Source organism: Homo sapiens, chromosome 11 (genome assembly GCF_000001405.40).
Source record: "Homo sapiens chromosome 11, GRCh38.p14 Primary Assembly".
Taxonomy (NCBI): domain Eukaryota; kingdom Metazoa; phylum Chordata; class Mammalia; order Primates; family Hominidae; genus Homo; species Homo sapiens.
The window spans coordinates 63,985,464-64,007,564 of NC_000011.10; the positions used below are offsets into that span (position 1 = coordinate 63,985,464).

The 22,101-nt window shown below is 58.7% G+C and overlaps 2 protein-coding genes across 5 annotated transcripts in view, besides 10 other annotated features; one reads left to right on the forward strand and one right to left on the reverse strand.

The window, feature by feature from the left end:
• On the forward strand, positions 975-12,949 carry OTUB1 (OTU deubiquitinase, ubiquitin aldehyde binding 1). Of its 2 annotated transcripts, NM_017670.3 has the most exons (7): positions 975-1,051; positions 2,874-2,935; positions 3,191-3,289; positions 11,067-11,185; positions 11,394-11,478; positions 11,587-11,781; positions 11,886-12,949. In NM_017670.3, exons 1-7 carry the CDS (start codon positions 994-996, stop codon positions 12,081-12,083), a joined length of 816 nt encoding a protein of 271 aa, NP_060140.2. In that variant the 5' UTR covers positions 975-993; the 3' UTR covers positions 12,084-12,949. The 2 variants fall into 2 exon arrangements, 1 of the variants encoding a protein (NP_060140.2); NR_003089.2 differs by having other exon boundaries at positions 11,067-11,478.
• Positions 1,054-1,423: a silencer, noted in NCBI's record as "silent region_3453". NCBI's record gives its function as "represses an Ori minimal core promoter by ATAC-STARR-seq in GM12878 lymphoblastoid cells {active_cell/tissue: GM12878}" and the evidence as "EXISTENCE:reporter gene assay evidence [ECO:0000049][PMID:35858748]".
• Positions 11,340-12,277: an enhancer, noted in NCBI's record as "H3K27ac-H3K4me1 hESC enhancer chr11:63764275-63765212 (GRCh37/hg19 assembly coordinates)". NCBI's record gives its function as "activates a minimal SCP1, AML or CMV promoter by ChIP-STARR-seq in primed H9 embryonic stem cells {active_cell/tissue: H9 hESC(primed)}" and the evidence as "EXISTENCE:reporter gene assay evidence [ECO:0000049][PMID:30033119]".
• Positions 12,950-13,094: 145 nt separating the features above from the next.
• Positions 13,095-22,101, reverse strand: part of MACROD1 (mono-ADP ribosylhydrolase 1) — a 167,556-nt gene continuing 158,549 nt past the window's right edge. For 2 of the 3 annotated variants that reach the window (XM_011544970.3, NM_001411019.1), the window contains 6 exons: positions 14,764-14,880; positions 14,179-14,300; positions 14,067-14,097; positions 13,868-13,941; positions 13,492-13,573; positions 13,095-13,224 (listed from right to left, as the gene is read on the reverse strand). In XM_011544970.3, the coding sequence (XP_011543272.1) occupies positions 13,193-13,224; positions 13,492-13,573; positions 13,868-13,941; positions 14,067-14,097; positions 14,179-14,300; positions 14,764-14,880 (458 nt within the window). In that variant the 3' untranslated portion in view covers positions 13,095-13,192. Of the gene's footprint in view, positions 13,225-13,374; positions 13,410-13,491; positions 13,574-13,867; positions 13,942-14,066; positions 14,098-14,178; positions 14,301-14,763; positions 14,881-22,101 lie in introns of all 3 variants that reach the window. The other variant, NM_014067.4, reaches the window with a different exon arrangement.
• Positions 13,214-14,151: an enhancer, noted in NCBI's record as "H3K27ac-H3K4me1 hESC enhancer chr11:63766149-63767086 (GRCh37/hg19 assembly coordinates)". NCBI's record gives its function as "activates a minimal SCP1, AML or CMV promoter by ChIP-STARR-seq in naive H9 embryonic stem cells {active_cell/tissue: H9 hESC(naive)}" and the evidence as "EXISTENCE:reporter gene assay evidence [ECO:0000049][PMID:30033119]".
• Positions 13,214-14,184: a biological region, named in NCBI's record as "H3K27ac-H3K4me1 hESC enhancer GRCh37_chr11:63766149-63767086".
• Positions 13,725-13,814: an enhancer, noted in NCBI's record as "active region_4881". NCBI's record gives its function as "activates an Ori minimal core promoter by ATAC-STARR-seq in GM12878 lymphoblastoid cells {active_cell/tissue: GM12878}" and the evidence as "EXISTENCE:reporter gene assay evidence [ECO:0000049][PMID:35858748]".
• Positions 13,945-14,184: a silencer, noted in NCBI's record as "silent region_3454". NCBI's record gives its function as "represses an Ori minimal core promoter by ATAC-STARR-seq in GM12878 lymphoblastoid cells {active_cell/tissue: GM12878}" and the evidence as "EXISTENCE:reporter gene assay evidence [ECO:0000049][PMID:35858748]".
• Positions 14,152-15,087: an enhancer, noted in NCBI's record as "H3K27ac-H3K4me1 hESC enhancer chr11:63767087-63768022 (GRCh37/hg19 assembly coordinates)". NCBI's record gives its function as "activates a minimal SCP1, AML or CMV promoter by ChIP-STARR-seq in naive H9 embryonic stem cells {active_cell/tissue: H9 hESC(naive)}" and the evidence as "EXISTENCE:reporter gene assay evidence [ECO:0000049][PMID:30033119]".
• Positions 14,152-15,607: a biological region, named in NCBI's record as "H3K27ac-H3K4me1 hESC enhancers GRCh37_chr11:63767087-63768022 and GRCh37_chr11:63768035-63768542".
• Positions 14,835-15,414: a silencer, noted in NCBI's record as "silent region_3455". NCBI's record gives its function as "represses an Ori minimal core promoter by ATAC-STARR-seq in GM12878 lymphoblastoid cells {active_cell/tissue: GM12878}" and the evidence as "EXISTENCE:reporter gene assay evidence [ECO:0000049][PMID:35858748]".
• Positions 15,100-15,607: an enhancer, noted in NCBI's record as "H3K27ac-H3K4me1 hESC enhancer chr11:63768035-63768542 (GRCh37/hg19 assembly coordinates)". NCBI's record gives its function as "activates a minimal SCP1, AML or CMV promoter by ChIP-STARR-seq in naive H9 embryonic stem cells {active_cell/tissue: H9 hESC(naive)}" and the evidence as "EXISTENCE:reporter gene assay evidence [ECO:0000049][PMID:30033119]".

Genomic DNA, 22,101 nt, shown 5'->3' on the forward strand with positions numbered 1-22,101 from the left:
TTACTCAGTCTCCCCTGCCCCCACTAACATCTTGCAAAAATGTTGTGAAGCATACACCAGGATACTGACAGAGTCAGGGTATTGCGCATTTCCACCTTCACAAGAATCCAGACTTTCCCTTTCACAGCCACATCCACTTCCCTCCAGCACCTCCGCTTGACTCTTGGCAACCATTATTTTCCTTTTTTGTGAAGTCTTTGCTTTTATAAAGACCCTGCTTTAGTGGTGGCTCGCGGCTGGAGTCTCAGCTACTCTTCAGGCAGGGCCCGAAGATCGCTCGTGCCCAGGAGTTCGAGACTACCCTATGCAACATAGCGAGACCCTTTCTTTTCTTTCTTCTTCTTTTTTTAAAGGTCCTGCTTTAAAAACCAGAAGGACACAGAGCCCAAAGTTAGGTCATGAGGCTTTGGCCTTGACACCAAGGGATGCTGTCTCCTTGCCGGAAGCAGCTCACCAAAGCCGGCAGAGAACCCAGGTTCCGTGGGGCCACGATGTGGGGCTCCGCGGGCGCCCCGGCGCTGGCCGACTTCCTGTCTCCTGGGTCAGATGCTGCTCCGCACTGCAGCTATGGTCGCATGCAGTGCCTGCCGAAGCCCGCAGCAGGAATGCTGCCTTCGGTGATTTTAATTTCACTTTTCTACTTCTCTCAATAACAAAATCCGCGTTTCAAACTCCAGGGAAAAGAAAACGGAATTGGCTCCAGGAGGATCTGCAATCACCACCGGGAACTTTGGGAGGCTGGGAAGATGGAGCCAAACCAATGTGTGGGGTGGAGGTGCGGATCTGGGGCGGCCGGCCTCTCCTACAGGTCTCAGGTCCGCAGGCCTGGCGTGCCAGCACCTGCCACGGGACTGGAAGCCCATTCCTTGACAACGCCTAAGGGGATCCCGTTGCTAGGGCTGTTGCCAAGGCGGGGCAACGAGGAGGGGCTCGCTTCCGGGAGGACGGCAATTGGCAACCCGGAAGCGGTCGGTAGTGCGGCGCTGTTTAAAGATGGCGGCGGAGGAACCTCAGCAGCAGAAGCAGGAGCCGCTGGGCAGCGACTCCGAAGGTACAGATCCAAGGAGGGATGTCCGGCCCGGGCTAGTGGGGGCGATGCCGGGCCAGCTGCTCCCGAGGAGGGAGGGGAGGCAGGGCCGCTGGCTCTGGGGTCGAGGTGCGCGAGGGGTCCCTTCCTCCACCTCCGCTGCCTCCCCTCCCCCTCACAATGGAAGGAGCCACCGCCGCGACCCCCGGCCGGGAGGGAGCACGGGCGAGGCGGGCCAAGGCCCGCGGCCCTTCTCCATCGTGTGCGCCCGGGGCGGGGCCTGGGTCGCTCCGCCCTCTGCCCAACCCCTCGGCTCCTGGCTCCAGGGGCCCCGAGCCCTCTCGCCCCTGTCCTTGCAGTCAGGCAGAGAGGCCTACGCCAGGGCCGAGCCCCCCGGCCTGCTCCAGCGGCGGCCCGCGCCGTGAGGGCCTCGAGTTTCGCTGGGCTACGGAGCACAAAGGTCCGGGCGGGCCATTCGGGATGTCGTAGGCGGCCCTGGGATGTGAGGGGCCTGCGGGATCTGTCCCTGAGGCCTGCGACTTTTTCTGGTAGAGCCGCCTCTTCTGGCCTTGCAGCCCCTTTCCGCCTGCCTAGACATTGTTAGTCTCCTTAGGAGATGGGCCTTTCAAAAATGGTCCCACTCTGTCTTTTCCCGCCTATGAGTTGGGCCCTGGGGACCGCGTAGGTCATTGGGTGGCAGGGACAGTTCTTTTGCAGAGTAGTGCGAAAAGGGTAGGTAGGTCGACGCCCAGCCAAGAATTTGGGATGGCGAGCCCCAAAAGGGTTGACCTTTAAAGTCATTCAGCCCACGCACCTCATTCTCACCGAACACTTGAGGGAACGAGAAGTGGGAAAACGGCCCCGGAAGGGACTTGTTCAAGATGACATTAAGAGAGAGCCAGGACTAAAATTCAGGTGTCCTAGCTCCTCACCGATAGCTGCTCACAGTGGGGTCCATAGGGTGGACCTGCCCAGCTGGCTGATAATCCTAGAGCACGTACTGGTATGCCTCTAAGAAAGGCGAGGGTACTCGCCCCATTTTACAGTTGAGGAAAGGTCTCTGCCATGTGGTAGCCAAGGAGAGGTATTGTGCTGAAGAGCTCAGCCTGGAATTAGACAAACCTGGGTTTGACCGCAGGTCTTTTGCTAGTTGTGACCTTGAGCAGATTGCTTCACCTGTCTGCAGTTGTTTTGTTAATTGTAAAATGGGCACCATTAACAATATCCACGACCGCAAGAGGATGAAGGCGGTGATGGAGTAAAGTGCAGGCTCATAGGAAGCTCTCCTCCAGGCCAGGACTCTGCTTCCTCGTCCTACTTTCTGCAAGAGACCACGCCTGGCCCCAGAACATTCCCAGGCTGCTGGGAAGTGATGTTAACGGGAGGAAGGGGGTGTCAGAGCTGAAAGAGCGCACCTTAGGGATACCACGGTGCACCTCTGCCCCTTCATTTTAAAGATGAGGAAATGAAAGCCCAGAAGGGGAAGGGACTTTGCCAAGATGACACACTTGAGGTGGAGCACTCCTGTAATCCCAGCACTTTGGGAGGTTGAGGTGGGCGGATCACCTGAGGTCAGGAGTTCGAGACCAGCCTGGTCAACATGGCGAAACCCCATCTGTACTAAAAATACAAAAATTAGCTGGGAGTGGTGGTGCACGCATGTAGTTCCAGCTATTGGGAAGGCTGAGGCAGGAGAATTGCTTGCATCTGGGACATCTGTAACATACCTGCTTCCAGATTCTAAGCCTGTCTTCCTGACCCTGGGCTGCTCTTGTCCCTGGCCCAGCTGCCTGCAGTGGAGATGGCCAGGACCCCCTGTAATCTTTGGCTTTTTTCCTTTTCCCAGGTGTTAACTGTCTGGCCTATGATGAAGCCATCATGGCTCAGCAGGACCGAATTCAGCAAGAGGTGAGGGGCTGCAGTGGGCGAGGGAGGCAGTGGCCAGCAGCCCCATTGTGGAAATGCATAGGCTGGGCATGAGGCCTATTGTCTGTCTCTACTTTGGAAGCTCCCTCCTCCCTAGGCTATGCTAGGTACTGGTGCTTTTCTGGGGGTCGCTGTGCCACCGGGTGACCAGCCCAGCTCTTTTGTAGTTATTCTGTCTGTTAGGCATGGGTCACTCCATCTCCCTGCTAGGACATGACAGATCCCTGCCTCCTCCAGATTGCTGTGCAGAACCCTCTGGTGTCAGAGCGGCTGGAGCTCTCGGTCCTATACAAGGAGTATGCTGAAGATGACAACATCTATCAACAGAAGATCAAGGTGGGAGCCTGGCCAGAGCGGGTGGGAAGCACCCTGGGGGTGGGGCAGGAGGGTGCCTGCTTCAGACTTGCTTCCTGCTGGGTCTGTCACCTGAGGGAGTAGGGTGTTGGAGGACACTTTTCGTTGCTGGTTCTTGAAGTGCGTAGGCTGAGGCCTCAAAAACACATTGATTCAATGCTTGAACCTGGGAGGTGGAGGTTGTAGGGAGCCAAGATCACACCATTGCACTCCAGCCTGGGTGATAAGAGCAAAACTTCATCTCAGAAAAAAAAAAAAAAAGGTGGGGGGCAGGCACGGTGGCTCACGCCTGTAATCCCAGCGCTTTGGGAGGCCGAGGTGGGTGGATCCCCTGAGGTCAGGAGTTCGAGACCAGTCTGGCTGATATGGTGAAACCCCATCTCTACTAAAAATACAAAAATTAGCCGGGTGTGGTGGCAGGCACCTGTAATCGCAGCTACTCGCAGGGCTGAGGCAGGAGAATTGCTTGAATCCGGGAGGCGGAGGTTGCAGTGAGCCAAGATTGCAGCACTGCACTCCAGCCAGGGCAACAGAAGACTGTCTCACAAAAAAAAAAAAAAGACATTGATTCAAATCTAGACTCTGCTACTCAGCAGCTGTATCCTTGGCAAGTCCTTTAGTGTCTCTAAAATGGGTGTTCTCATCTATAAATAGGGACAATAAAAGCATCTTCTGGCCGGGCACGGTGGCTCACGCCTGTAATCCCAGCACTTTGGGAGGTTGAGGCGGGCAGATCACCTGAGGTCAGGAGTTCGAGACCAGCCTGGTCAACATGGCGAAACCCCATCTGTACTAAAAATACAAAAATTAGCTGGGAGTGGTGGTGCGCGCGTGTAGTTCCAGCTATTGGGAAGGCTGAGGCAGGAGAATTGCTTGCATCTGGGAGGCGGAGGTTGCAGTGAGGCAAGATCCCGCACTGTACTCTAGCCTGAGCGACGGAGTAAGACTCCGTCTCAAAAAAAAAAAAAAAAAAGGCCTGGCGCGGTGGCTTACACTTGTAATCCCAGCACTTTGGCAGGCTGAGGCGGGCGGATCACGAGGTCAGGAGATCGAGACCACGGTGAAACCCCGTCTCTACTAAAAATACAAAAAAATTAGCCAGGCGTGGTGGTGGGCACCTGTAGTCCCAGCTACTCGGAGAGGCTGAGGCAGGAGAATGGTGTGAACCCGGGAGGCGGAGGTTGCAGTGAGCCGAGATCGCGCTACTGCACTCCAGCCTGGGCGACAGAGTGAGACTCCGTCTCAAAAAAAAAAAAAAAGCATCTTCCCATAGGGCGATTGTGAGATTGAGGGAGGTGCAGGCTGGGCAGGAGCTGATGATCTCGGTGCCCATACGGGGGCTGACCAGGCTGGTGCTCAGTGGGGTAGGAGGGTTGCCAGAGGGCTGTTTCCCACAGCTTGCCTCCTGGATCTTTGTGGAGAGGCAGGCAGCAGTGGGGTCAAGGGGCCACAGATTTCCTCAAAGGGCCCTGCTGCATCACTCAAACGGAGGCAAACTTCACCACCCACTTTCTAGGTCTGTGAGCTGGGAGGATGACATGTGAAATGGGGCCAGGCATGGTGGCTCAAGCCTGGAATCCTAGCACTTTGGGAGGCTGAGGCCAGAGGATCGCTTGAGCCCAGGAGTTCAAGACCAACCCAGGCAACATAGTGAGACCTTGTCTCTCCAAATCAAAAAATTACTGGGTGTGGTAGCACATGTCTATAGTCCCAGCTACTCAAGAGGCTGCGGTTGGAGGATCACTTGAGCCCAAGAAGTTGAGCCATGATTGTACCACTGCACTCCAGCCTGGGTGACAGTGAGACCTGTCTCTTAAAAAAATAAAAAAATAAATAAATAAATAAATAAATAAATGTGACAATGGGTGTGTGGAAACAGTATCTGGTAGGCTCAGTGTAGGTGTTTAGTAAATGTTTCTCTTCCCCTGGAAGATGACAGATGCTTAGAGTCCTCTACTGGTAGGGGAGGCCTCTGTGGCCAGGTAGGTAACCCAGGTGATTGAAGGTGGCCAGGAAGTCAGATGGTGAACAAGGAGGGCAGCACAGCTCAGTATCAGCCAGACACTAATAGGGAGCAGAGGCCCCTGGGGGAAATGGGAGTGTCCATACCATTGTCTCCAGATCTGTTTTTCCAAGAGAAGCCAGAGGTAACCACAGCTCCTGACTTCTAACAGTTGGCAGCTAATTCAAATTTTAAATGTGTGGGCCAAACACACCTGCAGGCCAGATCCAGCTGTGTGAGATCTGTGCACTGTGATCTACTGAGGCCCCCTCCTCAGGGAGCTAGATTTCCTCAGGGTGCCTGTGGAGAGATGAAGGCACTGGCTGTGGAGCCTGATGGGCCTGGGTTCCAGTCCTGGCCTCACCACTTTGAGCTGTGTGATCTCGGGCAACACCCTGAAGCTCTTGGATCCCCTGTTCTCTCTGGGCGGGGACATTGTCTGCCTCACAGGGCAATTGTGAGGGTTGAAGGAGATGTTACGGGCGGTTGTAAGCAGCGGGTTACAAAGCTGCTCCTCTCCCCATACAGGGGGTGAGCTTCATTCATTCATTCCTCTTATGTCAGTGTCCTCCAGTGGGACCCCCCATGCCAAGGCCTGCCGCTCATGCTAGACCACCCTGGTAAAGTGGACAGGACAGGCTGGGCCCCAGGTTCTTCCCACGGAGTCATCAAACATTTGGATGTCCAGAGCATGCTGTCTAAAAGGCCTCTCTGTGCCCCCAGCACCCGCATTCTGTATGCTGTGCCTGAGCCCACCTTTTCTCCCTGGGCAGAGACAGCTGTGGCAGCAGAGCCCAAGCAGAGAGAGCTCCTCTCTCTCTAAATGGGCTCTTGTGAGGATCAATTAGGATGACGTTTATTCGCCCTGTGCCAAATCCCTGGCACAGAGAGTGTGCTCACAATGGCCATGGTGGCTGCTACAGTAGCAGTGGTGATTTGGGTTCTTTGTGGTCCTGGTGTGCTACTCATTTAACGTTTATTGAGAACGGACTGTGGTCCAGGCGCTGTTCTAGGTACTGAAGATAGAGCCATGCAGACAAAGTCCTGCCCTCACAAAACTTACAGTTCAGGGTGGAAAGACATGATAAGCCAAAGAGGGCTCTGGGACATGTGGGGTATCAGAAGGCGGTGAGTGCTGTGGAGAAAAATGAAAAGGGGATCGGGGCCGGGCGTGGTGGCTCACGCCTGTAATCCCAGCACACTGGGAGGCTGAGGCAGGTGGATCACCTGAGGTCAGGAGTTCGAGACCAGCATGACTAACATGGTGAAACCTCGTCTCTACTAAAAATACAAAATTAGCCGGGTGTGGTGGCGCATCCCTGTAATCCCAGCTACTTAGGCTGAGGCAGCAGAATCTCTTGAACCTGGGAAGTGGAGGTTGCGGTGAGCCGAGATTGTGCCACTGCACTCCAGCCTGAGTGACCAGAGCAAAACTCCACCTCAAAAAAAAAAAAGAGGGGATTGGGAGTGGGAGCATTTGCCATTTTAAACAGGGCTTGGTGAAGGCCTTGCTGATGAGGTGGTATTTGAGTAATGAACAGAAAAAGACCGGGGAGCGAGTCACAGGCGTCCGAGAGCAGTGCCCACCCAGGCCCGAGGCGAGAGGGCACCTGGATGGTTTGAGGCCAGCATGGAGGCCAGTGTGGCTGGTGGAGAATGAGGGGTTGGGGCTGGGGAACTGAGCGGGGCGGGGCGGGGTGGGGTGTTGTGGCGAGAGAAAGGACTCTGAGGGAGATGGAGATAGGGTGCATCTGGCAGGTGACTCTGGTCACTTTTCTTTTTTTTTGAGAGAGAGTGTTGCCCTGTCACCCAGGCTGGAGTGCACTGGAGTGCAATGGCACCATCTCAGCTCACTGCAACCTCCACCTCCCGGGTTCAAGCAATTCTCCTGCCTCAGCCTCCTGAGTAGCTGGGATTACAGATGCTCGCCACCATGCCTGGCTAATTTTTGTATTTTTAGTAGAGGTGGGGTTTCACCATATTGGCTAGGCTGGTCTTGAACTCCTGACCTCAAATGATCCACCCACTTTGGCCTCCCAAAGTGCTGGGATTACAGATGCCCACCACCATGCCTGGCTAATTTTTGTATTTTTAGTAGAGGCGGGGTTTCACCATATTGGCTAGGCTGGTCTTGAACTCCTGACCTCAAATGATCCACCCACTTTGGCCTCCCAAAGTGCTGGGATTACAGGCCTGGGCCATCACGCCAAGCCGACCCTGGCCATTCTCTTGCTGGGGTGAGAATAAACTCCAGAGGGTGAAGGGGAGGCAGGGACACTGCCAGGAGACTTGTGCAGTAAAATCTGCTGGAGGCGGGCAGCGGGTGGTAGAGGTGAGGAGTAAGAAGCAGTTGGATACCAGACATATTGAAGGGATGGATATGGTGATGGAGTCGGCAGCGACTGGAAGGCTTTGGGTGCTGTGGGTGACTGAGGTGGGGCAGCCTCGGGGAGGAGCAGTTGTTCGGAGGTTGATCTCAGCTGCACTCAGTGGAAATGCCTGTTGGACAGTTCAGAGGAGGTGTGGTGAGGCTGGTAGATAGGAGGATCGTAATTGGAGTTGAGAGTTGAGATTCACACTTGGGGCTATTTAAATCCTTGAGACTTTGGCTAGGGGCAATGGCTCATGCCTGTAATCCTAGCACTTTGGGAGGCCAAGGTGGGTGGATCACTTGAGGGCAGGAGTTCAAAACCAGCCTGGCCAACATGGTGAAACCCCATCTCTACTAAAAATACAAAAAAATTAGCCGGGCATAGTGGCGCGCGCCTGTAGTCCCAGCTACTCAGGAGGCTGAGACAGGAGAATTGCTTGAACCCGGAAGGCGGAGGTTGCAGTGAACCGAGATCGCGCTACTGCACTCCAGCCTGGACGACAGAGCGAGACTGTCTCAAAAAAAAAAAAAAAAAATTGCTTGAGACTGATGTCGTCAAGAGAGCAAGTATAATTTACATTTTTGTAGAGATGAGGTCTTGTTGTGTTGCCCAGGCTAGCCTTCAACTTGATCCTCCCCCCTTGGCCTCCCAAAACACTGGGATTACAGGTGTGAGCCACTGTACCTGGCCATGAGAGTGAGTGTAGTTTCAAAGAGGAAGCTGGCCGGGTGCGGCACTTTGGGAGGCCGTGGCAGGCAGATCACATGAGCCCAGGAGTTCGAGACCAGCCTGGGCAATATGGTGAAATCCCGTCTCTACAAAAAATACAACAATTAAATGGGTGTGGCGGTGTGCACCTGTAGTTCCAGCTACTCTGAAATCTGAGGTGGGAGAATTGCTTGAGCCTGGTAGGTTGATGCTGCAGTGAGCCGTGATCTTGCCACTGCACTCCAGCCCAGGTGACATAGAAAGCCCTGTCTCAGAAAAGAAAAAAAAAAGAAAAGTGGAAGCTGTCCCAGGCCTGAGCAGGGCGGGGTAGGCACATGGGAGACAGCCCTCATGCCCGTGGTCACATGGCAGGCACAGTGGCTAAGTGTGCAGTGACTGTTTTCCTTTTTCCTTTTTTGAAACGGAGTCTCCCTTTGTTGCCCAGGCTGGAGTGCAGTGGAGCGATCTCGGCTCACTGCAATCTCCACCTCCTGGGTTCAAGTGATTCTCTTGCCTCAGCCTCCAGAGTAGCTGGAACTACAGGTGTGTGCCACCACGCCCAGTTAATTTTTGTATTTTTAGTAGAGACGGGGTTTCACCATGTTGGCCAGGATGGTCTTGATCTCTTGACCTCGATATCTGCCTGCCTCAGCCTCCCAAAGTGCTGGGATTATAGGCGTGAGCCACCACACCCAGCCTCAGTGACTGTTTTCTTGCAGGTGACACACCATGTCTCGAAGGGTGCTGTATGGTTTGGTGGCATCCCTGACCCTCAGAGCTTAGAGAGATGAGGAGTGGCCTTGGAGGCAGGAGGAAGACAAGGAGAGGGTGGGGGCGCCAGCCCAGGGAAGGAGGCATCTAGGCAGGGCCACAGCCAGTGGCCTCAGTTCTGCTAAGGGGCCAGTGGGGGTGGGGCGCTGGGTTTGCCCCCTCTGATTGAGGGCGTTCAGCTGACCTTGGCTAGAGCAAAAGCCTCCCGAGGGAGAAAAGAGGTGGAGGCAGCACGGACAGCTTCATGAGGAGTTTTGCTGTAAAGAAAGCAGAGAAATTGAAGGGTAGCCAGACAGAAACGTAAAGTCCAGGATTCCCTTCCTTTTAAAGAAGTAGCTGAATGTGTATATGCTGTTGGGTCTAAACCAGTAGGGTGGGAAAAATTGATGATGGGGGTACTTCCTAGGATGATGTCTTTTTTTTTTGAGATAGGGTCTCACGCACTCTGTCACCCACGCTAGAGTGTAGTGGTGCCATCACAGCTCACTGTAGCCTCGACCTCCTGGGCCCACACAGTCCTCCGACCTCAGCCTCTCGAGTGGCTGGGACCACAGGATGCACCACCATGTGCAGCTCACTTGCTTATTTTTCAAGATGGAGTTTTGCTCTGTTGCCCAGGCTGGAGTGCGATGGCGCAATCTCGGCTCACTGCAACCTCTGCTTCCCGGGTTCAAGCGATTCTCCTGCTTCAGCCTCCCGAGTAGCTGGGATTACAGGCATGCACCACCATGCCGAGCTAATTTTATATTTTCAGTAGAGATGGAGTTTCGCCATGTTGGTCATGCTGGTCTCGAACTCCCGACCTCAGGTGATCCAACCACCTCAGCCTCCCAAAGTGCTGCGATTACAAGCGTGAGCCATCGCGCCCAGCCACTTATTTTTTTTAGAGAGACGGGGGTCTCACTGTGTTGCCCAGGCTGGTCTCGAACTCCTAGGCTTAAGCGTCCTCCCACCTTGGCCTCCCAAAATGTTGGGATTATAGGTGTGAGCCATGGCGCCCAGCTTGGAATGATGTGCTTGAGCCTGAGGGTGGGGGTGGGCTAGTGTGGAGTGGAGAGGCAGCTTAGGTGGCAGCTGGAACAGATCCTCTGAGGATTGTGGGAGGAGGCCAAAGGCAGATGTGCTGGTGGGGGCTGAGGAAAAAAGACAAGGTCATCAGCTGGGGGTAGGAGCAAGATGGGTAGGGGAGAGGGGAGGGTGCCCAGGCCAGGGGAGTGAAGTGTGCTTGCCAGGTGAAGTGTGCGTGGTGGGTGGGCACCTGTAATCCCAGCTACTTGGGAGGCTGAGGCAGGGGAATCGTTTGAACCCGGGAGGTGTAGGTTGCAGTGAGCCGAGATCGCGCCACTGCACTCCAGCCTGGGCAACAAGAGCAAAACTCTGTCTCAAAAAAACAAGTAGAGGAGGGAGGCTGTTTCTAGCCCCAGGAGGGCTGCGGGCAAGGCTTAGAGGTGGGGGAACTCTTCTCAGTGTGGCGGGAGCGGGGCTGAGCTGGGCTGTGCAGAGGGCCCCAGCCACCTGGTTGAGGCGTGGAGGCCAGCACTCCACCCTGGCCCTGACTTGCTTGCCCTGAAGTTCTCTTGGGCTGAAAGACTGGAGGAAACGCATTGCTCAAGGACATTCACTCACCTGTTGTTGTACAGTCCTGTAGGCCCCGCAGAACTTTAGTGACCCATGCAACTAGTTTGTCCTTAAGTGCCCAGCTTCCTGCCGTCTTTTGGGAGGACTCTGGGCAGTGGGCCGCTCCCATTGCCACATTCAGCAGCCTGTTTCAGGGACCCAGGGTGGCAGGTGGCTGCTGGGAGCTCAGTTGCCACCTTTGGAGTGTGACCTTTGCTGGGGGACATTTCCTTGGCCAGCCCCCGTTCTGGCCTGATGTTAACCTGTCGGGGTGGGGCTGTCTCCGCAGGACCTCCACAAAAAGTACTCGTACATCCGCAAGACCAGGCCTGACGGCAACTGTTTCTATCGGGCTTTCGGATTCTCCCACTTGGAGGCACTGCTGGATGACAGCAAGGAGTTGCAGCGGTGAGAAGGGTGGGCACTGGGCACCGAGGCAGGTGGGTGTCTACCTCCTCCCCGGGCGAGTAGGATGTGTCTCGAGTAGGGTGTCTCCCTCCTTCCCGGGCGATGGGCTGGACTCTGGCCTTGCCAGGCGGGGCAGTGCTGTCTCGGCCCTGGCGTCTGGGCTGGTCGAGGAGCCCATGCTGGGCCCGCCTTTCCATCCCACCCCCAGGTTCAAGGCTGTGTCTGCCAAGAGCAAGGAAGACCTGGTGTCCCAGGGCTTCACTGAATTCACAATTGAGGATTTCCACAACACGGTGAGCCCTGGTGCCTGTCTTGGGCTGGGCCATGGGGGAGGGGTTCACCTGGTGAGGACCACCCATCTCCTCCCCGTCATCTTGCCCTTTCTCCCTCCGTGGCTGCAGTTCATGGACCTGATTGAGCAGGTGGAGAAGCAGACCTCTGTCGCCGACCTGCTGGCCTCCTTCAATGACCAGAGCACCTCCGACTACCTTGTGGTCTACCTGCGGCTGCTCACCTCGGGCTACCTGCAGCGCGAGAGCAAGTTCTTCGAGCACTTCATCGAGGGTGGACGGACTGTCAAGGAGTTCTGCCAGCAGGTGCCGTCCCCCTCCCCTTTACTCTCGGCCGGGGGAGTGCAGTGGGCCCACAGGGCCTGGGGCGGGGTGCGGAGACCAGGGCCTGACCGGCACCTGTGCCACAGGAGGTGGAGCCCATGTGCAAGGAGAGCGACCACATCCACATCATTGCGCTGGCCCAGGCCCTCAGCGTGTCCATCCAGGTGGAGTACATGGACCGCGGCGAGGGCGGCACCACCAATCCGCACATCTTCCCTGAGGGCTCCGAGCCCAAGGTCTACCTTCTCTACCGGCCTGGACACTACGATATCCTCTACAAATAGGGCTGGCTCCAGCCCGCTGCTGCCCTGCTGCCCCCCTCTGCCAGGCGCTAGACATGTACAGAGGTTTTTCTGTGGTTGTAAATGGTCCTATTTCACCCCCTTCTTCCTGTCACATGACCCCCCCCCATGTTTTATTAAAGGGGGTGCTGGTGGTGAGCCGTGTGTGCGTGTCCCTGCTCTGCTGCCCGCCTGGCTGCTCTGTCTGCTGCCCCCTCCCCCCAGGTGGGTCCCCCTGCTTTTCACCTATCTACTCCTGAGCTTCCCCAACAGGAGCAGGTTTGAGGGGCCAGGCCTCTTGGAGGCCCCTCCTGCTTCGTTGGGTTCTGCTTCCTTCCCTTCTTAGCTGGCTCAGGGGCTTCTATGGGATCCTGGAAGTTCCTTAGGGACTTGCCCAGGGTCCCAGGGCCACCCACACTTCATCTGCTCCCTCATAGGCCCCACCTCCACGTCCCGGCTGGGCCCCAGACCCCAGCTTCCTGCCCTCCACCGGGAGTCTGCATGGTTGGGAGTCCTGGGTGGAGGGGCCTTTGTGAGGCTGGACCCGGCTCAGGGCAGGTGGAGGAGCTGGGCCTCCCACAGGGTGCCCGGGCAGTGCCATCCTGGTGGGGGAGGGCAGCCTTCAAACGTGTGGGGTCTACAGTCCTCAGGTCTAGGCAGGGCTGCCGGTTCTCCACCTCCCCATCCGCCCCAGGCCCCCTGCCTGTGCCTGCCTTGCACCCCCTCTGCTTGGGCCACGGTGTCTCTGCATTGCCTGCCTTTTTGCCTTCACCTCTTTTCTTCCCCGCCCCCTGCACATTCGGGGTCTCAGCCCCCAGGCTGTGAGCTCCTTGGGGGCAGGCCCTCAATAAATGTGAACTGCTGCTGCCGCCTCTGCCGTCCGCCTGTGCCTCTGCCCGCCTGGCTCACCGAGAGCTCTTGCCAGCCCCTTTCAGTGAAAGCATCTGGCCAGGGGCTCCATCCAACACCTGGGCCGCCTTCCTTCCCCCCAGTCAGAGCTCAGACAGTAGGAGCTGCCACAACGAGATCTTTATTAGGCTCCTCGGGGGCGGGGCGCGGAGGGAAAGAAGGGGTGGCCAGGCCCAGGCCAGGCTGCAGGCTTTGGCGACCTCTCAGAGCTGGGAGCGGGGTCCCGAAGGCGGGTCTGAGGGCAGAGCAGAGTCAGAGGTGTCTATGGGCGTCCCCGACCTCCCAGGCTGCCCCGTGGTTTCCCGCCCTGCTTGGGGGTGAGCGGGGGTTAGTGGGCGGGTTAGTCTAGGGCCGGGGCCGCCGCACGGGGCGAGGCCCTGCTTACCAGTCCCGGTCAGGGTGGGCTGCGGGAGCCTCAGGCTGGAAGGCAGAGGACAGTGAGAGCCCGCCCCCAGGGTGGACCGGGGCAGGGGCGGGCCGTGGGGCGGCGCGGGGCACGTACCCACGGGGAAGTAGTGGGGGAGCCGGCTCCGGTAGATGTCCTCGTCCTTCTCGAGGAACACGCAGATGATCAGCCGGTCCACCTGCGCCAGGGGCTGCTCAGCCTGGGCCGAGCTGCCACGCCTGGCCCCAGGATCCTGTGACTGCCTGCCCTGGTGCAGGCTTTCACCTGCCTGGCCCTGCGCCCTTCACGGAGGCTCACGGCTGTGTGCCATCACCCCCATCTCGCCACCGCCAGGCGCCCTTGCGCAGGAGAAACAGGGAAGGAAGGGGCGGGCCTGGCCCTGCGCTCTGCACCCTGACTCCCTGGGCGATGATGGGGGCTGGTCACTCTGGCCGGGATGCGGACCCCACCCTCGCCCGGGCCCAGGACTCACCTTGTCCTTGTGCTGCTCCAGCCACTCTCGCAGCGTGGCCAGCACGATCTCGGCGGCCGCCTCACAGGGGTAGCCTGAGGCGGGTGGGGCGGGAGTGAGTCCTAGGCTCTGGCCCCGCCCACTCCCCTGTCCGCCCCGGCCCCTCCCGGCGTCTGGGTCCACCGCCCACTCCTGGTCCTTGCCTTTCTTCCAGACTCACCAAACACGCCGGTGGAGATGCAGGGGAACGCCTGGGCGGGGAGGGGTGAGAGGGGGTTGGAACATTGTCACTGCGCCCCGCCTCCCGCCCTCCCCCGCGGGCCGTCCCTCACCACCGAGCGGAGCCGGTGCTCCAGCAGCAGGTCCAGACTGCTCAGGTAGCAGCTGCGGAGCTCGGCAGCCTGACTGGCGCTGGGCTCCCCGTAGGCGATGGGCCCCACTGTGTGGATGACGTCTACGGGGGGCGACGGGGTCAGACCGGCGGGGGTCTACGCGGTCCTCAGCTCCCTCGCTTCCCCCTGCCGGCCTGGGCAGAAGGGGGCAGGAAACACCTTTCCCCCCAAGCGCTGAGCCTCCTCCGCGAAGGCCCCCACCCCTGTGGGCCCCCTCGAGCCCGAATCCGCACGCGCACAGAGCCCCGCGCCCCCTCCCCACATCTGTATGGGCCCGGCTGAGACCCGAGCGCGAGTGTGGGCGCGAAGGCGTTGCCCCCCAGCTCCATCCTCAGCCTCCACGCACGGTCTCCCCCATGTGCTTCCTGGGGTGTGCGGGGTGGGGGCCGGGTCTTGGCCCTTAAGGTTAAGAAGGGCCCCCTGAGGAGTTCCCCAGCACTCCTGTGGGGGCCGCACCCCTGATGTCCCAGTGACACACGGGCGCCCTGTCTGCGCCCCACAGCTGGGGGCGCGTCGGGGACTCACACTTGGCCGGGAGCCGATAGCCGCCGGTGATCTTGGCCTTGCCAGTCTTACAGCTCTGCAGGGTCCGGCACTCGTCGGTAAGCAGGGGGCCGGCGGCCCGATGAATGCAGCCGTCCACTGCGGGAAGGGCGGGCGCGACTGAGCTGGCCTGGCAAGGCTGCGGCCCCGGGGTGAGCACCCTCAGTCCCGAGAAGCCCCTCGGCGATGCGAGGACCCATGCGGAGCCGCGCCCCAACCCCGTGGCCTCCGGCCGCGGCCGCTGCCCCCACCCCCGCCCGGAATGTTTCACATCTGGGGAAACCGAGGCGCAGAGCGGGACGGCCCTGGGCCTGGCGGGAAGTCGCGCAAGGAGGCCGGCAGGGGGCGCACCCGGCCCACCCTGTCCCTTCCAGGCCGCGCCGCCAGGGCCCAGGCAGGGCGGCTCCGGGAGGCGGGGGCCGCCGGGACAGGAACCGCCGCCCGAGCCGGGGTGACGGGGAAGCTTCCTCCCCGACGCCCCTCCCTAGCCCTGTCCCGGGCGCGCTGCAGGGCCCGCGACCAGTCGCTGCCTCCGCCCGGGCCTCAGCGTCGGTGCGATCCCAAGGCCCACCTCCCCAGGCGGCGCCCCATCACGGGGCGGCGGCAAACCCTAGGACCCATTTTGCGGATGAGGAAACCGAGGCCACCTTGTTACAGGGTGATCAGATCTGTAGCTGGAGTCTGGGTCTTCCAGCCGCGCGGGGAGGTGAGCCCGACGCCCGGGCCCGAGTCTCCTGGCGCGCAAACCCCAGCTGGTTAATGAACCGCCTCGTTAGCGCATCCAGCTTAATTACGGCCCCGCATGGGCTTGTTTATCCGAGGGCGGCTGCAGGGCCTCGCGAGCGACCCTGGGGACCCGGGCGCAGATAAACAACCGGGGCGCAGCGGGAGGCATGGAGGAAACGCTCCAGCAGCCCAACCTCGCCAGGGCACCGCGCAGGAGAGGCGCGGCCTCAGGCAGGCCTGGGTCCAGCCCGGGCTCACCCCTCATCGGCTGTGAGATCCTGCCCCTTCCCCTCTCTGGCGTCCACCCTCTTATCTGGAATACCGGGACAGCGACCCTCCCACAGAGGAAAACGCCGCGTGCTGGCCGGGAGGACAGGGCCCATCTTTGGCAGCTCTGATCGCCCACGCCAGGAGCTCCTCAGGCACCAGCTGCCTGGTGCTCACAGGCGGGCATCAAGAGAGGACCATCATTCCCCATTTTACAGATGGACAAACCAAGGCCACCTTCTCCTTCATCACCTCAGTCTCGGCACAGTTCCAGGGATGCCAGGTAGCTCACACCCCTTTCTTTTGCTGTTTGATCTCGTGCCCTGGGGGCACAATTAAACCTCATTCTGCAACTTTACTCAGAGCTGGCACCAGGCAATTTCCCAGAGCGTCCCAGGGATGGGTGGGCAGAGAGGTTAGGGGAACGCTGAGAACGGCTCAGGCCTGGATCCCTTCCACCTGCTCCTCTCCTCTGCAGGGAGAAAGGCAGCTGTAGCCCAGGGCGAGGCTGAGATGGAGCAAGAAGGCAGGGCCCAGAGCGGGCGTCCAGGCTGGAGCTCCCAGTGCTGGGAAGTGAGTGTTCCGAATGGGGTGCCGTGGCTGGGCTGTGGAGCTGGGCAACGTGAGTTCACATCCTGGCTCTGCCAGCCACAGATGTGTGACCCCTCACATATCATTTAACCTCTCTGGGTCTCAGTTGCTCCATCTGGAAAATGGGATAATAGCACCCACCTCAGAGCTCATTGGGCTGTTGGAAGGATTGAGTTAAACTAACTTTGTAATGTGCTTAAGGCAGTGCTTGGCAAGAATGGAGGTCATGAGTGTATCCTGTTATTAACAACAGTGTGACAGTGTGGGCATGTTCGGGTATGTGTACATCAGTGTGATGGGAGGTGGGTGCACACAGGGTGTTCACAGTGTGTGGGGGTGAGCCCAGGGATCTGTCTGAGCTGGCTCTCCTAGGAGCCTCCCGGGTCGAGCACCTGGCACCGGCTGCTCGAAGTCTCTGGGGGCTCACCGCCCTGCAGGCGACCTCGGCCAGCTGTGGGGGCCCGTGCGGGGAAGTGGAGCTCAGTGTTTCAGGAATTTAATGTTTCCTGCGGAAGTGGACTGGCCTGCAGCCAGGCCTTTGGGGCTGACCTGGGGGCGCAAGGGAGGTGGAGGGAGCTGGAATCAATGCTGGCAGAGGGCTCAGGCCAGATGCCCCCTCCTCACCCCCAGCAGTTCCAGAACAGGGCCTGGGCCAGGTGATGGCTCTGCAGGGGCCCCAGGGAGGGGCTCCCCTAAAGCAGAGATGAGGGACAGGTCACTGTCAGCCCACTGCTACCCCAACAAGCTAGAGTGCAGCCTGGCCCCTCTTGCCTGCGTGTCCCTCCCTGTCCACACACCAGCCTTCTCGCTCTCTCCCCTGAGAGTGCAGAGGGGAACCCCCCCACCCTGCTCTCCTTAGCCATAGGCCCAAAGGACCCCTCCCACACACACTCCCAGAGTCCCCTTAGCTCTGCCCTCCAGGCCCTGTCCTGGCTCTTACCTGGGGCTAAGCTAGGTCCTAGAGACTCAAGCTTCCTGGGGTCCCATTCAGGGGAGATGCCCTTCCTTCCCTCTTCCCTCTTCCCACCCCACCCCAAGGCAGCTGGAAAAGACCAGCAGCCCTGATCCCTGGGGCTACCTGGTGGAGGTGGGGTATTCCCAGTTCACAGGAGCTGACCAACCCTTAGTCTCCTCTCCAGGGCCCTCAGCCACCAAAACAAACCTCCAGGCTCCAGCTCAACCCTCACCCCAAGTCAGCAGAAAACCTGGGGTCTTTCCTGGGGAGGCAGAGCCCACTTGGGTGGCGGGACCCCCCTGAGATGTTTCTCCATCAGGTCAAAGATGAAGCCTTCCTCCACCTGTGGCCAGAAGATGGCCCCTAAGGCCCCTCTGCCTCCTCCCTGCAGCCCCTTCTTCCCTCCACCCTCCTCTACCGTTAAACTCCCCCTGATATGGCTCCTTCATATCAGCCCTCTGTCTCACTATATCATCCAGGCTGGAGTGCAGTGGTGCAATCTTGGCTCACTGCAACCTCTGCCTCCTGGGTTCAAGTGATTCTTATGCCTCAGCCTCCCGAGTAGCTGAGCTTACAGGGGCGCACCACTATGCCCAGCTGATTTTTTGTATTTTTAGTAGAGATGGGGTTTCACCATGTTGCCCAGGCTGGTCTTGAACTCCTGACCTCAAGTGATCCACCCGTCTCAGCCTCCCAAAGTGCTGGGATTACAGATGTGAGCCTGTGTTTTTTTGAGACAGGGTCTTGCTATGTTGCCCTGCCTAAGCCTCCTAAGTAGCTGGTATGACTCACCCCCCATGGCCTTTGTCAGCCTTCTTGTTGGGTAAGCACCTGCGTGGTGATTTACAGCCGCTGTCTTATTATTTTTCCTGTTTATAGAAGAAGAAACTGAGGCACAGAGAGCAAAACTTGCCCACACGGCTGGAAGGTTGGGCTCCCAACCTCAGTGGCTCTGCTTCCTCTGGGACCACTAAAGGGCCTCGCCCTGAACCACTCTGGCTGACTGGTTTGAATGGCCCCCTGTCCACGCTCTTGGGGAGGCAGTGTCTCCCCACATCAGCACGTCCCCTTCCAGCAGGGGGGCTGCCCTGGTGGCCTCTTGTTGCACAGTGTTCTGAGGCCACTGTCTTTCTGGACGGTTTGGCTGCCCCCAGCGCTGACGGCTCCCTCCATCCAGCGGGACTTCCCGTCTCCTTCGTGGGCTCTCGTTCCTCAGGCCGCTCCTCAAATGCCACTGGGGCTCTGCCTGCCCTCGCCTGAGCCCGGAGGAACCTCTTTCTGCCCCAAGCCCTGGCCTCTGAGCGGCCCTTGACCCTCCGCCCCATCTTAGGCATCTCCCTGCTTTGCTGTGGTAAAGCCCTGCCTTCCAGCCTCCACGGCCAGCATTCAGCCCAGCATCTGTGCGCCTCCCATGGAAGGATGTTGTGGAAGGAAGGAGGGCTGGGCTGAGTGATTGCCCATGGCCCTGGGCATTCCTGGGGCAGTGGAGGGCACCAGGAGTGGGCAGTCCTCAGAGCCAGCAGAGGCGGAAGGCAGGCAGGCTCCGGTGGGGCCATCCGCCAAGGCGCTTAGGATGAGTTGGCCGCTATTTAGGGTGCTGTAATATGCATGAAGGGAAGATTAGATATTTAAATTTATTCAGCAATAAATGCATCTCAGTGGGGGAGCATTCCTCATGCTAAACAAACAAGCAGGCAGGGGCTAATTAATTATTTACAGGAACATAAGGAGGCCTGTGGCCCACAGGACCAGGAGGGCAGCTGTGCCCCTACCGAGGGCAGGGCACCCCAACCCGCAGGCCTGGACCTGCTCCTGGTCTCTCTCTGCTCCCCCATTCCCCCTACCATCCCGTGGGGCTGGCCCACGCTGTGCCCTCTTTGGGATTTCTCTTCCCAGAATTCCTGGCCACGAGATTGCTGGTGGTTTGGGGCAAGTCACTTAACCTCTCTGAGTCTCAGAGCTCTGGCCTCCAGAGACTGGTGGGGGCTGGGAGGGGTGACTCATGCCTGTAATCTCAGCACTTTGGGAGGCTGAGGTGGGAGGGTCACTTGAGCTCAGGAGTTCGAGACCAGCCTGGACAACATAGTAAGACCCCATCTCAAAGAAAAGAAAAAAGAGTGGTGGGGAGCACTGAGATATGCTGGAAGGTGTCAAGGGGGATGGGAGACTGAGGGCCAGGGGGGTTAAGCAACCTGTCCAAGGCCCCACAGTGAGAGGAGGAGCAGAAACTAAGATCCACTTTATTTATTTATTTATTTATTTATTGAGACAGTTTTTTGCTCGTTGCCCAGGCTGGAGTGCAATGGCATGATCTCAGCTCACTGCAACCTCCGCCTCCCGGGTTCAAGCAATTCTCCTGCCTCAGCCTCCTGAGTAGCTGGGATTACAGGCGTGTGCCATGATGCCTGGCTAGTTTTTGTATTTTTAGTAGAGGTGGGGTTTTGCCATGTTGGCCAGGCTGGTCTTGAACTCCTGACCTTGTGATCCGCCCGCCTCGGCCTCCCAAAGTGCTGGGATTATAGGCGTGAGCCACCGCGCCCGGCCAAGACCCACATTATTAACCCTCATCGTACAGAAGTAGTGATAGGCTCAGAGAGGCAAAGCCACTTTCCCAGAGCCACACAGCAAAGTGTAAGGCCTTGCCTGGGCAGCTCTTGCCCCTGGCCCCCACCTTCCTAGACTCCTGTGGGCCCCAAGAGCAGGGAGGTGAACAGGAAGGGGGGCCTGGGCAAGGTTGTGGGGGTGAGTGGGGCCTGGGCTGGCTGGGTGTCCAGCCTGCTGCCCTGTGACTGCAGCGTCTGGCCCTGCCTCTCAGGTGCCGAGTCTCATACCTCTCTGGCTCAACCTCACGCCTCTGAAATGAGCTTTTGGGGGCTGTATGGGAGGATCCCCTTTTTACAGATGGGAGGCTGAGGCTCAGCCATGGACTTCACAGGCAGGGGATTCCTTTGCCCTGTCATGCTTTTGGGGGCCTTGTACCCCAGGGACTGGCTGCACTGCCAGGGTGGAGATGCCCCTGAGAAGGCAGGCAGGAGGGCTGGAGACAGAGGGCCTTGGGGAGGCAGAGGTGTGAGCTGGGGTTTGAGGGAGGGGTGTGTCTCCCCTCCAGCCCAGGAAGGACCAGGGGTCTGGGCTCCAGGGACCACTCCCGCCTGGACGGGCTGGGCACAGCCTGGAGGGCATTGGCAGCCAAGCCTCGGTGCAGCCCATGCTGGTTTCCCTCTCTGGAGGAGGGCTACAGAAATACCAGATGCCAAGGCAGAAAGGGACAAGGCTCCCGGGGAAATGGGGGAAACTGAGTCTCTGAGAGGGTACCAACTGCGTCAAGGGCAGACATCTGACTTGCTGCCCCAGGCTTCTAACCCTGCAGAGGGAAGGTTTAGCCACAAAGACCGGATAAGTGACCTACCCAAGGGTCTTGCGCTCTCTTCTCTCCCAGCCCACTCCTCATTCTCCACCTCTGGCTTCTATTCAACTAGGCCAAGACCTGAGCGATATCCCATTGCCGGAACCATCTTTGCTTCTGCTCACACCCTCCTGGTCGGCCATTCAATCAACAAACTCTAGCCAGCCCCGGCTCTGTGCTAGGCTTGAGCTCAGCCCAGCAGGGTGCAGAGCCCATCCTCACCAGGCCCCACCCTCTCGGTGCCAAGGCGGGTGGGTGCCCGGGGGAGAAGATGGATGGACGACAGTTCTGTGATGAGATCTGAAATTCATTACGGGGTGAGATCAGCTCCTTAAATGGGGATTTGAAAACATTAGGGCTTCATTATGTACACAACGGCAGTGCCTCATTCATCATGCAAAAATCACTCCCGTTATTAAAAATCCCTGTGGCAGCTGCATGCCGGGGCTTGGTGGCATCGTGCCTGCTGGGGACAGAGCAGGAGCTCCACAGCCCTGCCTGGTCAAAGTTGTGGCCACGGGACAGGGGCCCCAAGTCCCAGCCTCCCTCTTACACAGGGGCCAGCTGCGGGGTGGGGCGGGAAGTGAGGTTCAGCTCCAGGGACTTAGTGCCTCAGTTTCTCCACCTGCAAAATGGAGACGCTAATGATGCCTCCCATAGGGCGGGGTGAGGGTGTATGAGATTCTTCAGGGAGAGGTTCAAAGGGTGCTGGTGGCCATGTCGTAAGTACTGAGAATGCCTGGCTGCCGTTGGCACCATCATCAACTGGGGTCAGGCAGGGGTGGCAGGAAGGCCTGGGGGCCTTTCCTTGGGGAAGGGCACGCATCCCCTGTCATAAAACCTCCCATGGCTCCCAAGAGTACATGGAATAAAATCCTCAACTCCAACAAAGCTTTCCTGGACTCTCTGGGGCTCCCTGCAGCCTCCCTCTCAGATGAATTCACTGCCTCCCGCGCCCCTCCTACTGGTTCCAAACTCTACCATTCAAAAAATGCGTACGAGGGCTCGGGGGCGACGTGCCACGTGCCAGCCCTATGCAAGGGCCAGGAGTCCTGTGGCCGCAGCAGTTCTAGGGACGGGACACGCGGCTCTAAGTTGTGGGCGTGGTGAAAAAGGAGAAGGGGAAAATGGAGCTGGCCCCGAGGAAGGAGGGAGGGATGGGCGCCGTTCAGAGGATGAGGTGGCCCCTCCGAGGAGGTGGCATTGGAGCAGAGCCCTGAGTAATGAGAAAGAACTGGCTTTGGAAGGAGATGGGGAGGAGAGTCCGGGATGAGAGTCCGGGCGGAGAGCTCAGGAAGGGCAGAGCCCTGTGGCAGGAACAGGCCGGCGGGTGAGGCTGGGAGGGAGCGCTGCCTCTACAGGACCTCCCGGGAGG